Genomic DNA, 17,705 nt, shown 5'->3' with positions numbered 1-17,705 from the left:
AAAAACATACATTTTCCATTTCTGGATCCTGCAGTTCCTTGAACTATCTTCCAACCAGCAGGTAGTTATCCCAGTCTAGAAAATGTAACATTTGCAAATTGCTAAGCCTCTCAAAGTATAAAATAAATTCTAGGCTCAGTTTTTTCATCAGAAATTCTGCCCTTACTATATCAATAGTATTAATTTCAGAAATGAGCAAAATGATCTGTTTATATCAAAAAAAGATTTGATGGTGTCAGGCAGGAGAGATGTTTCCTGTCATGCCTTATTTACATCATAATATGATGTCTTAGAATTGAGCTTATACAATGGAGTCTGTGCTTGTGGACCTGTAGGTTATATGTTATCTCTCTAATAGACTGCCTGTAATTTCAGATGACAAATATTTTCTCACATTATCCAAAATAAGGAAATAGATGCTGCTACATATATGGGCAGAAAATCTTGAGAATCTACTTATGTATTGCAGCACAGCTGAGAATGAAACTTGTCAGCTCAGTGGCTTTAGGCATCTCTGTGTATCTGTGCCTATGTGAGAATAAGTTGGTATGTTTGGTTTCTTGCTCTGGTAGTTATGAGTGTAAAACCACTATAGAATGTTAGCTGGTATCCATAGCTCATACACACATTAATAAGTGATATATTAGTTTGTGAAGGAAATAAAGTTTTATTCTAAATATGTAATCCTTTTATCAATTTTCCTGTTGTAGTGCAAGTGCTAAAGTCTCTCCCCTATGCAGTTTTACTCAGAAGATACGTGTACCTTTGACAATTGCAGCCCTCTCTCAATAAAGGTTGAGAATAATACAGAATATCTATAAAAATATACCAGCATAATTTTCTATCCAAACATAAAATATGTCTAAGTTTGATAATTAGTATATAACTTTACATATGTTCCTTTTTGAAAGAAGACTCAACATTTCACTAAACTAATAAAATGCCATTAAATTTGCTTGAAATATTAATTAGTCAAATCACAAAAGGAACCTTTATGCCTTCTCCTCTCCAAAGCATGGTTAGCAGTTCAGCTGTTACAGTTCCCTCTTCTAATCTCTATCAGAAGACAGTTAAACAGCACAACAGACATTACATGCAGTAGGCTGTAGGAATACAAATATTGGTACCATGGAAGGCATAATTGCATGGTTTTAGTCTATTTTATGAAGCTCCACCAATAGATGTAGATTTTCAACTAGAAAACTCTCTGGAAATAAGGTACTGTTGCTACACTTTATGTTCATGTAAAGTCATGTTAGACATATCATGAGAATAAATTGAAACTAATTATCTTTTAAAATCTATGGTTACCATGAAAAATAATAAAAGCATTCATACTGTGGATATCATTAAATAAAACAATGAAAATTTGTTAAAAATTTTATCAGTGATTATTTTAACCGTAAATACTAAGACAATAGAAACAAACTATTAGGCAATCGTTTATGGTAAGAAGAAAAGTTAAGACTTGTGTCATTAATCATTTACAACAATGCATCAAGGATAAAACAAACCACAAAAACAAATTAATCGAGTGTATATCTCTTCATAAAATATAGTTCCAGTGACTTGTGATTTTGTTAAAAATTTTTATTCTATTTCAAAGTGTTTTAAGAAGCACCTAATTAAAACATAGTTCCAGTGACTTGTAATTTTGTTAAAAAATTATGTTTCAAAATGCTTTAAGAAGCATCTAATTAAAATATGGTAATGGAATATTTTTGTACAGGCAAACAAATTGCTACCCACAGTCATGTAACAAACCTGCACATTCTGCACATGTATCCCATTTTTTAGAAGAAATTAAAATAATTTACAAATTGTAGGACTGCAAACATTTGATATGTTTATAATTACAGCTGCAATAGTGTATGTAATGGCTTTGTTTGATACCAGCCTGGCCAAGGTGGCGAAACCCCGTCTCTACTAAAAATACAAAAATTAGCAGGCTGTGGTGGCAGGTGCCTGTAATCTAGCTACTTAGAAGGCTGAGGCCTTAGAATCCCTTGAAACCCAGGAGGTTGAGGCTGCTGTGAGCCAAGATCATGTCACTGCATAACAGCCTGGGTGACAGAGGGAGACTGTCTCAAAAAAGAGAGTATTAGATATACAATAAAGTGCACATATTTATAGTTTATTATTTGCTAAGATTGATATATGTATACTCTGTGTATACCCTGTGAAACCACCCCTATAGTCAATTATGAACATATCTACTACCCAGAAAAGTTTCCTCATGTCCTTATGTAATAACACCCTCATGCCACTCCCTAGGCAAGCTAATGTGCCACTATAGATTAGTTCGCATATTCTAGCATTTTATGTAAATAAAATAAAACACTATTCTTATTTGTGTGGCTTCATTCTAGAAAAACTATTTCAGGATTCATCTTTGTTGTTGCTTCTATAGTTTTTGGTTTGTTTTGGTTTTTGCTATGTAATATTGCATTGTATGGAGGTACCAGAACTTGTTTATCCATTAATCTATTGTGAATATTTGGATTGTTTTCAATTTCTGGTTACTGCAAGTAAAGCTGCTATGAAGTTGTGGACAAATCTTTGTATGGACATAAGTTTTCAATTCTCTTGGATAAACAACAAGGAGAAGAATATTTCAGTTAAATGGAAGGTTATTTTTAACATCTTATGAAACTGTCAAACTGTTTTCCAAAGTGGTTGTACGATTTTGCCTTCTTACCAGCAGTATATGAGAGTTCTGACTCTTCTACACCCTCACCAACAAATCTGTAATTCTTTAAAAAGCCTGGCCTTAGCAAATGTTGCCAAGGATGAAGAAAAGCCATGAGCTTTGATATTGTGTCCATTTCATCTAAGTTGACAAATATTTAGCATAAAATTGTTGTGAAGATACTGATACCCTTATTTCCCCTTTGGTATTTGTAAAATCTGTGATACAATCACTCTTCTCATTTCTTATCCTGATAATTTGTGACATCTACTTTGTTTCACCTTCTTGCTTTTCCAAATCTTTTGCGAGAATTTATCAGTTTTATTGACCTTTTTGATAGTCAGCCTTTGGTTTCATTGATATTTTCTTATTTGTGTTTCTATTTCAATATCTTTATCTTTATGCGATGTTTATATATTTATATCAATATTTCCTATGAAATCTACATTATTTAATATTAATATAGTTTCTCCAGCCTTCTTTTAGTGTGAAAATGGTATATCATTTAAAACTCTTTTTCACTATTTGTATGTATATAGAGAAAGTATGCTGTTGAAGATAGTTTTTAATTCAGTTTGACAACTTCTTTTAACTGGAGCTTTTAACTTACAACCTTTTTTTATTACCTTTTCCATTTCTGTCTGCCTTCATTTAAACTGAGCATTTTTTATAACTATTTTCTTTATGTTGGCTTGTTAACTATAATTCTTTGTTTTGTTATTTTATTTATAGCTTTAGTGTTTATAGATTACACTTTTACTTTATCACAATCTATCTTCAAGTATTATACCACTATTTCCAATTTCTCAAAATCCAAATTACAAAACAAAACAAACAAAAAAACCCTTTCAAGTTATTTAGTTCTTTATTCTATTTTAGTTGCCTGCTATCCTGAAAACTTACTTAAACTGGAGTGGCTATATAATAAGTCCAGCTCTATTCTAAGTGTTTCTTTGCCAAACATTCACTTGATATAAGTACAATACAAATTAATATTTCTTTGGTCTTAAAAATATTTTGGATTTTTTTTAAATAAATCACCAGTCATTCTCATATTTATTGTTTAAGGACACATATTATGAGGACACATAGTAAGAATTATTTTACTGCGTTATGGAAAAAAAAGTAGGAGTTGAGGGGAAGATGGATAAGCAGACAACATTCCCAAAAAGAGAGTTATCATAGCAAAATCATGACTGACGTCCTGAGATGCAGTGTGTAATTATGAGAAGAGTATGTGGCTTTGCATGAAAATCTATTATTTATTATCCTAATATTTTATTTCATGTTCTTCAAATTTACTTTCAGCTTGAAGCAGTCACCAACTAAACTTATTGAATGTTTACTCTGTGCCAGGCACAACACTCATCATTTATAAGCTTTACTAACTCAATTGATCCCCACAATCCTATGAGTTAGGAATAATCAAGTCTATTTTTATAGAAGCATGCCAAATGTATGGTTCTCATCCCTCCAGACTGCAATGCCAGATTATGAAGACATTAGAAAAGATCTTTATGATGCACAACCTCATCATAAAAAAGTTCCAGATGCCTCCTGACATAATAAAAAAATCAGATAGAACAAGGAAGCAAATTAAATGAATGAAATTTTTTCCCTTATATCTGAAAATTTGTCCTTATCCAGGCCACTGGAAATGCATGTTTTATAATTTAAAGGTAAATGGCAGTGGCTTACTAGCATTATTTACAAGTTTTCTTCATTGTTCCAATAAAAGTCAATGAACCTGAAGACTTGTAGGTATTTTTCTTTTTAAAAACCTTTATCTTTTATTCCTTTATGTTTTGTTAAATTATTAAGATTACTATAAAAACTCAAACAGTATAGGAAACTGAAAAGTAAAAATGGGAAAGCCCCCTTCATTTACTTCCCAGTGTTATTCCCTGCTAACAACTTCCAGTTTCTTTGGAAACTTTCAAAATAGAAAACAGCTAATGCCAAAACAACTTAGATATATTTACTGGTATAGATACCTCTTTCTAGGGACTATGGTAAATCCTTTATTAAGAAAAGATATATGTAAGGAGGCAATGATCAAAATGTTTCTTGTTTTTCAAATTTGTTAGTGATGAATAAGAAAAAGATGAGACTATTACTATGTTCTCAAGTCTATCACTTTGTTTTTTTATCACCCAGGATAGGTTAACCTTCAAGCCATATTGTTCAGGCAAGAGAAACTGTATTCTCAGTTTGCTGTCAGACATAGTCCATCCCACCACCATGGTGGTTAGTTCATTGTAAATATATGACTCATTTACACCAAAGCGGGTCAGGTCTAGGACTTCTGTCTGACAATTGTCAGAATTACTCAAGCTACCAAATATATTCAGATTTATGACAGAATTTGCCACTCTGCCTAGTGTTGATTTAAAATTATTCTCACACGCTGCCTTTTGGGTAGTTGCATTTAACTCCACAATTTTGGCTTATGCTTCTGCACCCAAATACCAAACTCCCTGGGCAGTATTTTGGATAAGATACGTTAACAATATTATATTTCTAAGTTAATGTTTTGAGCATGAACCAAAATTGTACTTCATAATTTTCTCCCAGAATCCCATATTAAGACACTAGAAAAATGTTGACACATATGGAAAAACCACAAAATGAATGACAGTAATTGATATAATAAATAACAATGGGCTGGGCACGGTGGCTCACACCGTAACCCCAGCACTTCGGGAGCCCGAGGCGGGAAGATCACCTGAGGTCAGGAGTTCCAAACTAGCCTGGCCAACATGACAAAACCATGTCTGTACTAAAAAATACAAAAATTAGGTGGGTGTGGTGGCAAGCACCTGTAATCCCAGCTACTCAGGAGCCTGAGGTAGGGAGAATTGCTTGAACTTGGGAGGTGGAGTTTGCAGTTAGCCGAGATCGCACAACTGCACTCCAGCCTGGGTGACAGAGCGAGACTCGGTCTCAAAACAATAATAACAATAATAATGGATAAAGACTTACATTTTATAACAAACACCAAATATCTAAAGTGAAGTAGGAGTATAACTAAACCATGAAGTTATGTCAGATAAATATATTAAGATTGTGTTTAAATGTATGGTGTCAGAGTAATATTTTATAGATAAATAATAAAAATTCACTGACCATGATGACTAGCAATATATACATGAACCAAACTCAAATGTGTAGCCATGTGCATGGACAAAATCAAGATATTATCATTTCCACATAATTTTCTTTTTCATCATCTAATGACTATATGTTACAAGAGAGATTTCTGAATCTTGTGAACCATTTTCAAATTTTAAAACCATAGTGTTTCCCATCAAGTGACAGAGCCATTTGCATTCATGGCAGCTAAGAGATTTTTTCTGTTTTGCGCACATGGTCTTATAGCTGAGCTTCTATTATTTCTCTTCCAGAAGAATGCAATAAATATGTCTAGAGACAAGGGACAAAGTTAATAAAAGGCTGTCCTTTCCTTTGACTAAGACCCTGGTTTAAAATGAGCTATTTTCCCTGAACACCATATATTAATTGGATGGTTTCAGCTTCAGCCACAGACAAAAGCAGTCCAGATCATGATTATTTGCAGTATAATTCTTCTTGATATAGTAAGCAGCCACAGAGCATTGATATTAAATAGTAGATTTCTTCCCTGGTAAGGAAATTATTCTAGAATGTTACCTCTTGGTGGGTCAATTAACGGGCTGCCACTATTATTCCTTGAATTGTGTGTATTCCTAAGATTCATATGTGTCTTATCATAAAGTTTTTGTAACTGTTTGATTTGTAGTCAGCTCAATTTTTTAAAAAATCAGTTGTTTCAATAATAAGTATTCTGTGTTTATTTTTAATATACATTCAGAATCCTCCTATTATGATTTTTGGTAGGTGTGGGAACCTTGTAGAGGATAGACAATGTATAATAGAAAGGACACTCTCTGGAGATATTTGTCCATTTAAACTAAAGTCAAGTAAGTTTGCCACATCTAAAACACCAACCTACTTTTTCATATCATATGAAGGTGGTATTCTCGGGCCCTTTGCCTCAATTACCAAAATTAGGTTCTGAGTCTAAATTAGACACATCTCAAGTCTTTATTCCTAGATAGGTTCTGAAATCTGGGCCTCGTACTGATCCAAAGAAAGATTGAAAATGACTAAGGTTGCATAGTCCCTTACCAACTCTTGTTCTGGGAGTCATTTTAATCTCCCAAATATTTAGTTGTGAGGTCATCAGTGTAGATAATCATTGATAGATTATCAGATTACCAGATGTAGCAACATAATTCCTCCTCACACTTCCTCTCTTTATTTACTTTTATTTTGGGAGAGCCAAATCCATAGGTCTGTGGTTCTCCACTAGAAGTGTGTTGCTCTCCAGGGAGCATTTGGCAATGTCTAGAGACAGTTTTAATTATAATAGGAGACTGAGTACTAATGTATATAGGTTAGAGATGCTTTAAACCTCCTACCATGCTCAGAATAGTTCTGGACAACAAAGAATTAACTGGTCCAGAATGTCAGCAGTGCTAAGGTGGAGAAACCCTAACGTAGATGAGCAAAAGTCAGGGAGATGTTATAGACTTGAGCTATATTACATTGCCAAACTCTACTCAACAAACTTAAAATAGTTGTTTATCTCACTTTCTACTTGTCTTAAATAGCCCTAATTACAAATATTCATACATGCATTCAAACATTCATCCTCTTATTCATTGTCTTATTCAACAACAACAACAATGTATAGGGGCTTATAAAATTCCAATTCAAAAAATTATATTGAAATTCTTCACGTATTAAGGACAAATAAGAGCAGTTGTATATAAAGTCATATCAAAACATTATAAATGCACAAATAAGGCTGTAGAAGGTAGTTTTCTGATAATTGCATCCCTTATTGAAGTTGAAGAGTTCCTATAAGGTAAGTACAGAGGCAGAGTCCAAATCGGATGTTGTTGTAATGGTCCAGACAAAGGAATTTGATGGCTTGGAATAGAACAGGAGAAAAGGGCTAATTATAGAAGACATTTAGGAGGTAGAATTGGATATAACGACATTATTAAGGAGCTATGAAATCGTGAAGATGAAGAACAGTCAAAGATTATACCTGAATTTCTTTTGGCTTAAACAATGTGAAAACATTGGTATCATAGAGGTAGAACATAGCAGAAGGATGAGTGGGAGCTACAACGTGAAGATAATAATCTCTGTTTTTAATATCTTAAACTCAAACTATGTAATGTCTTTGAAAATGTCCTCGGCCAGTTGGTTAGGTGAGATAAAAAATTCTAGTCTGAAATATGTGCTAGAAACAGAATCATTCAAGAAGTTATCAAGGTGGTAGGAATTTGTTTTGGCTAGGCTTCATGGGTATCCAGAAGTCACCAAAGAGGAAGGCCTGAGTGTCAGAGAAATTTGTTCAATTAAATTCAGTTAATTCCTCAGGTAAAATTAGGGTAGAGTTCACTTCCTTGGTCAAGAAAATATAATGAAAAAACCAGTGTTTCAAAGAGATTTCTGTCTATAATACAAACCCCTTCTGATAAGATTTTTTTTAAACTATACAAATTTGGGCTCCTGAAATTGTGAATTATAGTGTAGTTAATATTAAAACAAACTTGCATAATTTTTTAAAATTTATAAAATGCTTCCATGGAAATCATATTACTTAATTTAAACAACCTGAGTTTGGAAGGACAGGTATTGTAATTGTTTCGATTCTGTAGATATAGTTTCTGAGGCAATAAGAGGTTAAATGGTATTTCTCAGTATCATGCAAGAATATAAATTCCATCATTGAGCTGTAAGTCAAGTTTTCTCATTCTAAACTTCCTGTATTTTTCAGCATTTTTCAAAATGCACACATGCACACAAGTCTTTATGCATAAATAAAAATTAAGAATGAATGTTGTTTAGGAAATAGTTTTTCTTCTCTGTAAAGGTGACTTATATGGACTAAAAATAAATCTAGGCTATTTCAAGAGACTGTAGCATAATACTAAATTTATTTCTGTATAATTTATATTACCTAAGAAGTTAAATATTTTAAAGTTTTGTAATGAACACATGATGTTACTAAAGTAGATTGTTGCTCTCAATAGTAATTGGTCACACGTAGCCTCCATCGAATTTTAGTATGTTTCCATGACAGATAATTTTACAGATTATTGCTAAATGTATATTTCAAGTGAACTTGGATGTCAAATTTGAATGGCCAAGGTTTCTTGGAGCAGGAAATTCAGAGATAAAGGAATTTTAACACGTGCTCTGGTTTCAATGGTGCACTATCTCGAATAAAAATTGATAATGACTCCAGGACTGCAAACGCTTTATCAGTCCCAGAGGCTTAGTCGCCTCACACCAGATGCGGGAAGTTGACTGTATTCATTAATATCCTTCAGTGAGGTCACAGGTAGGGAAAGAAGGAGCTCCAAGGAGGAGAGCTAGTGAAATAAAAGCCTAAGTATATTGAGTTTGTGCAGTAAAGGAAGGATGTGGGTTTGTAAAGTTCTCATTGTCTTAAGCATGTAAGGAAATTGAAAGTCAAGTCTGCTAACAAGAACACTTTGTTGCTTGTGACTTCCACCCTCCTATTCCACTAAGCGTAGATAGCACCTGTTCCGAGTAACTGTTGCTTTTTATTTCTTTCTCCCTAGTCTATCTTCTTAAATTACAAAAATAAATTATTTTTTCTTGCTTTGTCAATTTGTTATTTAGTTTTCATTTGGTGAAAATTAGAATTGAAATGTGGTATTCTTTTATGACACTTTCGCAGTCAGTGTGTTTCTGAGTTGAGCTTAACTGATTCAAGTGAATCTGTGTGCTGAAGTGACTCCTGAGGGAAAATACAAATCCTTTCAAAGGCTGGCTACACAGCTTCAGCAGCAAGCACTGAGACCTCCTTATTCAGCCTAACCCTGCTTACATATTTCAGAACTGAACCCCAATCTTCATCTCCGCACAGCATTCCCCTGGTGATTTGAGCAAGCCTTGTTAACAGTTTCATCTAACAGGCTCAGCAGGTTCAACATTTGATTATCTTTCCCTCAGGTTCACGATCAAGTCTTTTTCCTTCGTTATGCGCTGACAGGACCACTGTGCTTGGGTTCTGTGTGCGGGTAGATTCACATACTGAACGTGCAAAAAATGCAGATGACAATCTGGATAAATCTCACATTCAAGAAATTTAATTGTATTGAAATTCAAGGCTGTGCCCCTGAGACATTGATCCGGTATTTTCAGTTTCAAATCCTGGATGCACTAGCAGCATGATGATGTGTTCATGGAATTTGCAATTGAGATAATGAGGAATCAAAGCTTACGTCTGGATCACTAACTGACAGAAAACAGGGGAACCAACGCGAATCAATACGGCCCGGCCCAACGGAGTCCGCCTGGCAGCAAGAAATCTTGGCAAAGCTTCTCAGGTTCCAATTTAAGAACAGGGCTCAGGACTTCGGAGACGGGCACAGTTGGATGTGCAGACTGGGGTGATGCTTTTGCTTTCCAAGGCACAGAGAATGTTTGCTCATAAGCTTTTATTGCCAAAGGCAAGAAGCTCTGGCTTCAGCAGCCAAATAAAACAAAGGAAGATTGGAACAAAACAGTGGAATACAAAATATGTATAAAAAAAAAAGAAGACTTGTGACAAATGGTTGCTTTTTGCTCTGCAAGAAGTTGGATGTGATCTGCTCTGTTGGGGGATTCTTAAACAATTTAAAAGGAAGTGAAGGCCCCAACTGTTACAAGGAGGATACATTTTAATCATCGAGTTGGCTTTTTCCAAACTTTTGTTTACTTCAGAGCTAAATAGGAAAAGCCGATTTTCATTTCAGAGTGATAAGAGCAAGTTTGAGGTGTTTCTTAGGCTAAAGCAAACTGGACTATTAGCTCATATACTCCCTTTTAATTGGGTAACTCATTCTCCTCTCACTCTCAGCCTGCAGGTACCCTGGGAAGTCTGAGCTATAATAGCAAAATCAGAGGAAAGGGATTAAATGGGATAAATATTTCAAGCCAAGTTTTATATCTCATTCTTGCACATTTGCTCAAATGGGTAATTATTAAATTACATGGAAGTTCCTTGCCCCAGCAAAACAGAGGGTTGGGGCACATGTCTAATTTTGAAACAGCCTTGATTTAGGCTTGTTTGGGCACAGTTATGAAAAGCACTCTTTTAATCTCAGGATATATTCGGTTGGATGATAAATTACATGGTAAAATATGGTCACTCTGAAAACCTTAAAAGACTCCTCAATTCAAAATGAAGAATTTTCGTTTTACCAGATACCGTTTAATGTACCATACGATGCCACTTAAATGTAGCTTGATGACTAATTTGGAAAACAATATGTGTTACTCCCTCAGTTTTCTCCGAAGTTAAAGAACAAATGTCATCTAAATGACTTTAAGATTTAATAAAACAAAACATTTTAGTTTAGCTGGATTTTACTGGTACCTACCTAAATTACTTTGTAGAGGACTTAAGTGTTTTATGAGGTATAAGCACACACTTTCAAAAGACCAGTAAACTTCATCACTGCCTGAGAACTGCTGGGCTGCTCTGTAGCTCTAGGAGTAAACTTTCCTTAATTACAGGCTCACAACATTCAAACTGCTGTAGTTTATGATTAAACACCAAGAACACTAGTTAAATAGAGAGATTGCCTTAAATTATCCAGAACTAGGCTTTTAGGTCAATTATCCTGAAGTATATTCAAACTCTTTTTGATAAAAATAAAATATTTCTGAAATATATGGAAACTCCCAGACCTGGTGATCAGAGTATCCTTGAATAAAGTTACAGTTATGTAAATATTAGAAAGGAATTGGCACTGATACCAAGAAATATTTTGGCACTCAAATTCATAATTTGATCTCACATTCGTTTGACATGGTCACTAACATGTTTTGTGGTGGTGGTGGTGGTGGTGGTGGTGGTGGTGGTGATGGTTTTCATTAAGAAGATTAAAAACTATGGCAAAGGCTGATTGTACTGGTACATAACACAAGTGCAATTGTATAAAAGTGACCATTCAATGAAGACTAAAGCAGGTTTATTTCAATTGTTTCTTGCCCATATATAATTATTTATGGAGTTCTAACACAAGCTCTTGGGGCTTCTTTTTTAAGGCAATATTCTTTCTTTTCAGCCTTTTAAACTCCATCAACCAGAAACATATTTGACTCACTTTCAAAAGCATTTCTACTAACTTCAATAAAGAAAGCAATACATTTTATAAAACTTCAGAATACTGGTACCAGAGATCATTATAACCAATTTCCCTTTAAAACTTACCAAAGTAAAGATTCACCTTATCTTCATTTCTATCTATAACAGCCAAATTCCATTCCTCTGGAGCAGGAAAATTGAGATATTTTAAAATTTGGTAACTTTCTTTAACACACTTATGAATCTGATAATTGGACACGCAAGGAACTTTAATTGTACCTTACATTGGGAGGAAAAAATACACTAAATTTTAATCCAATGTAGGATTTAATTGACTCATCTATTTACTCATAAATAATTGCTCATTGCTTACTGCTTGCTAGACACTTAGGAACACATGGGGGAGCATAGGAGGAATATAATAGAGATATTCCTCCTCTTATTTTCATTAGATTTATCTTATTTGTGAGGCTAAATATGCAGGCAAAGGAAAGGCAAAATGATTCTAATTCCTTTCTTCTACCCCCGACAGCACCTCTGCTCTGCCATCCTGAATATAAGTCTTTAAAACTTTAAGAAATGTGTATTCTTTATATATATACTTCTGGAGTTTTCTACTGAATATTATTCCAAAAAAATCAGCACAGATGCAATGCAAAGTTTCCAGGCAGTCGATAAAACCAAAAAAACAAAACCTCATCAGCCCCCTTGTTTTGCTTTTAAGTCTATTTTTTAAATTCTCGACCAATCATTGTTCAATATTCATTCTGCTATGAGGAAATGATTATCCCATTGCACAAATTACCCTCACTCCAAAATGACATGATTAGAAATTTTCAGCTAATCCATAAGTGGCCTGTAGTTTGATTCCCATTTCATCAGTGCTGTAAAAGGGGAGGATGTCATGGAAAAAGGCACAGTGCTTTATCAAGCATTCTTTATTAAGAAATGGATAGTGAAACTGATTAATAATTGAGAAAAGGATTAAAATTCTTTTCTTTCAGCCATATTATAGAGAAGAGATTGTTATAGTTAATGGCAATTATGTGAAATATTCTGGGTAATGAAGCAACTTAAATAAACTTTGCAGTCCCCACTCATATCACAAACAGAAAAAAAATGCCAATTTAAATTTAATATCACAATTTGCATTTGAGATCATGAGGAAATTCATTGCTTGAATTAACTCAGCCTATTAGGTAATAATAATTTCAATAATTCTAAGTGTTACTATGATTAGTAATAATCATAATAATGCGCTCTGCTTAATTTCCTTTAGTTAGACTAGCATAGTTTACAAATATTTTCCGATAGGCTAAAAGTGTACCCCAAACCCTTTTTTGAGTTTAAGAGGGTGCAGATATCATGGTGGTAGGGGTTAAGCCATTAATGCTACAGAATGTTTTAACTATATTATCTTATTTGTTCAATTTATCAATTTGTTTACCAATTTGTATTATATGACATGAATTGTGTATAGTAATTAATTTACTGGATTTCTACTATTGAGCATATAGTCTCTGGTGCTTTATTCATACAATATAGTTCTTACGATCATGGCACATTTAACTCTTTTCTCCAAGTATGTATTTCCTAAATTATCATATATCTAATCAAAAGCCTGCACTGTAGCTTCTGGTTTTCTCTGGAAGAAGTGGGCCAGGTGGGAATAAGGAGCTCATGCTCATGTGAGGCTTCCCAAAGACCACTGATGGCATCTTTTGTTCAGACAATATTGGAAAATTTTGATAAAACTTTAAAATGTCAAATAATTGGATGTCCATAAAGTCGATATTGGTGTACCAGTTGTCAATTATTTCAGAGGTAGTAGGTCACCACTTAACTAAAATAACCAGACTTGCAAAAAAAAGTTTTACTCAATATATGCAATCTCAGGATAAATGATCAGCACTGTGAGCAAATATACACATAGAGGAAAAACAAATGTACCTGAAAGTCTAAAGGATATTTTTTCTCTAAGTGACCCAACTGTGTATTTCCAAATTTCTCTATAATTAGTAAAAATTTTTATCACAGCAAAGTAATATTTGTAGAAATGATTTATTACAATTGTATTTTTAAAATTTAGTAGTCCATTTTTAGAAGTCTGAAACAATTTTTAGGAACATTTGCTAAGCAGTCAAGTACTGAATTGTTCCAGCAGTCAAGGTCTTGTGCATTTTCTATCTCAAACAGATATTTATTTCAACTACAAAATGGGAAGGAGAGAGAGAATCTCTAACACTTTCTGTGAGTTATTAAAATCTTTTTGGATATTGGCCCAAGGTGTATATCAACAGTTTTATAAAAAAATTTGATTCTTTCCCCTACAACTCATTAAACTATGACAAGGCAAAGTTGACATTCTGTGAAAAATTCCCAAACATGACTTTCTTTTTTTAAAAAAGAATCATTGCCAGTTCAGGACAGACTTCAGTCTTCCCAGTGTTTTTCAAAGTATTTCATTATTTTTGTACTTGTATTTAGTTTTTAGAATCCCTGATTTCTTCACATCTAGCTTCCCTAGGGTTAATCTGAGGGGAGAAAAACAGCAGCCTGCACTTGTTTTGTCATTTGGGTAGTCAAGTAAAACAGATTTTGCATGCAACACTAAGCTATTAAGTTCCAGTTAAAACCTTTGCATCTATTTCTAATACTGTTCTCTTACATTAGCAAAATGAGAATTGTTATGGGTTGTTGCCTAAAGGAATGAGAATAAAAAACACACAAGAATATATTTCATGTAGTTATATAACAGGTTAATTGACAAGATATTATACTATATATAAGTAGTTTGATTAGTTAGATATGGTATATTAATGGGTACTTTATTAGAGAAGATCACAATATATCTACAGAAATGTCCAAAAAATTAAGGGCATATAAACACAAATATAAAACTTCCAAGAACTCTTACCTATAGATAATTCCAGCTTGTAAAAATAAGAAGATTAAATATAATTCTGACTTTTTTAAATGTTTGAAATTCCTGTCCAGGTAAATTAACAATCTTTAAAGGCATTGATTCTACAGTAATTTTGAAGCAATATGCAGAAATTATGAAGTAATCATTATTCTGCTTTATAATTCTACTTCAAAAACAACTTGATTTGGTCCATTTCCCTTCATTTTTCTTGCCTCCAGCCTAGTCCAAGTAACTATCCTCTATCACCTGGCTCCCTGCAGTGGGTTCCTCACTAAGCTCTCTACTCACCTATTGTATTTGAACTTTCATCTTAACTGGCTCTTTCCCTTTAGTATATAAGAATTTCAAAGTCCTTTCCAACAGATTATTTGTGACCCTCTATCCAGCTCTCTATGTTCCCAGTCAGGCTTCCCCAAACACTACTTTGTACCTTTTGTCTGCCCTTCTTCAATTCTTTCCTATTCTTAATTCACAGTAATATGACTTCTCTAACACTCAGTTGAAAACTTTCCGAGGTTATCAAGAACCTCCTAATTGTCAGATCTAAATTGATTTTTCTGCAACATTTGGCATTATTGAACATTCCTATGGAGTTCCTATGGAAATTCTTTTACCTTTGTCTTTTATGACACATTTCTCCTTTACTAGAATTTTCATAGCTGCTTGTGCGTCAGGCAGTGAGTGTCATGGCAGGAAACAGGTCATGCCCTCAAATTGGATAATTGGAGGAGATTTTAGTATAGTGACTATTTACAAAAGTGTGAGCAAGGAAGGTGAAGAAGGATAGCGCAGTTGCCTAGGTTTAATAGCTGTGAGCTTCACCAATTTTAGGCAAACAGAGGAAGGGGTTACCAAAATTTGGCTGAGCCCTGTGGGAAAAGTGGCCTTCACTCATGGGACATAGATAATACTTAGAGAACTCACAAGAATGAATGGGGAGGAATAAAAGCCTTCTTCCTTCTGTGTCTGTTTTGTTTGTTTTGTCTTGTTTTCACAAGTTCTCCCCTCACCAATCAGGTTAACAGTACATAAAGCTAGAGGGCAAGTAAATCATTTTATGTGATCCAAACACGTTGGCCTCCCCAGACACAGAGGAGGGTGCCAAAGAATAGATGGGAGATCTGAAAGGGCTGGCAGAAGACATCTTGCCCAGCCTCTATTTCTAAGCAGTGGTTTTCTCCAGGGTTCCTCTTGCCTTCACACTCTTTAGACATCCTTTTGATTTGGTGCATTTTTATCTTCAATCTTGGCTTATATTATTATTTACATTTGGTGACTTTCTAATCTCTAATTCCATCATAAATGTCTTATTTTCTTAGGTGAGTATGATGCATCCAACTACTTCAAGGGTGCCTCTTTTTTGAACTCTACATCACAAAATCTGAACTCATTTTCTTCACATCAAATTTACTTTCTCCATATTCTCTCAAGCTGAATGGCACTCTACCCACCAATCAACAAAGCAGAAAACTCATAATGATCCTCGACTCACTTTTACTATCTAGGTATAGTCAATTAATAACAATGCTGTATAGATAATCTCCTAGTGAATTTTTAATTCATCCTCTCCTGTGCATTGTCACCATCACTAATGTAACGAGTGTGACGAAAAATTCATCCTAGGAATTATGGAAACTGATTACATGAAGAGCTTACCTAGAATGGGGGACAGAGTAAGTTCTTCCAGATGAAAGTGTGTGTTAGCGGAGTACTGAAGGATGAATAACACGTACTTGGGCAAATGGTGGGAAAGTGTTAGACTCAAAAGAAACACCATGTGCAAAGTGTCCTAGGGGAAAGAATAAATTTTATATTTGAAAAATTAAAACCAAACAAGTATAACTGAGATGTAAGGAGTGGAGACAGGATGCTATCTTAAAATATTTTCAGTTGAAGCTGGAGAAGTAGGAAGCCAGAAGACTGCAAAGGGCTTTAGATGTCATAATGTGAATTTGTGACATAATGCTTATAGTACTCAAGTTGATGGCATCAATAAAGAAGGAATGGATCCCAATAGCATTATCTGTATTTAAGCCTGAAAAGTTCTCATAGTCTTAATCTGTAAAGTAGGAGAGCATATCATCCAGGTGAGAAGACATGTGACCAAAGGGAACTAATAAAGCAATCATTCAGGAAGAACACGCTTTGTTTACTCTCAATTGAATCTCTAAACACAACTCATCTTTGTGCCCCACACACCTGTGTATATTCAAGAATTTTCAGACTGCATTATGAGGCAGGACTTCTCTTTGTAAAGGACCTCCTTGTATTTATTTGCACCAAATTTGCACCAAAACTCTTGGAAGTTATTGTATGACGGTTGTCCCATCATAATTTCCTTCCAAAATGCGAGATGGGAAGTTCATTTATCTAAGAGATGTAAGTCTTAAATGGCATGTTATTATCTTTTTAATTAATCATGACCTTTCATAGTGCTAATAACTAGGGTAGGTCACCTAAACCCCATGTTTTGATTTAGTCTCTTCTAAAATAAGAGTTGAAGGAGATACACATGAAGAGCCTTTCAAGGTCTGAAATTCTGCAAACAGAATGAGAATGAGCATGAGAATGCTCAAGCATTCTCATCATCTCAAGCATGAGAATGGATGGAAGGATCCCTTTAAGATTACTTCCAGCTCTCTAAGTTTTATAATATCTTAAATAAAATGGACAATCATGAAAAATCATGACTACATTTTCCCAAGTGAATCAATATTTGTTCACACAGAATAACAGCATGTAATCCATAATGTTTGGCATCAGATCCAGATAGGCCATCTACCATGGTACTTATTTGACTGCTGAAATTTCATCTCTAGAAAAGTGTTAGTAATTAGATAGCAGATATGTTCCAAGATAATGCACTGAGGCAATTCATCCGGCTCCTGTAAAAATCTACATAAAACACTTGCAAGCACATGTGTATATAC

General features: G+C 34.2%; 1 long non-coding RNA gene across 1 annotated transcript in view; it reads right to left on the bottom strand.

Annotated features, from left to right (window-relative positions):
* The window catches only part of LINC00558 (long intergenic non-protein coding RNA 558), a 60,701-nt gene extending 44,195 nt beyond the window's left edge, over positions 1-16,506 (bottom strand). The window contains exon 1 of the long non-coding RNA NR_047488.1: positions 16,432-16,506. This is a non-coding gene — a long non-coding RNA (long intergenic non-protein coding RNA 558). The remainder of the gene's footprint in view (positions 1-16,431) is intronic.
* Positions 16,507-17,705: the final 1,199 nt, after the last annotated feature.

This window comes from Homo sapiens, chromosome 13 (assembly GCF_000001405.40).
Source record: "Homo sapiens chromosome 13, GRCh38.p14 Primary Assembly".
In the NCBI taxonomy this organism is placed as follows: domain Eukaryota; kingdom Metazoa; phylum Chordata; class Mammalia; order Primates; family Hominidae; genus Homo; species Homo sapiens.
Note: the sequence above shows the minus strand (reverse complement) of the source record. Positions and strands in the feature narration are given on the sequence as shown.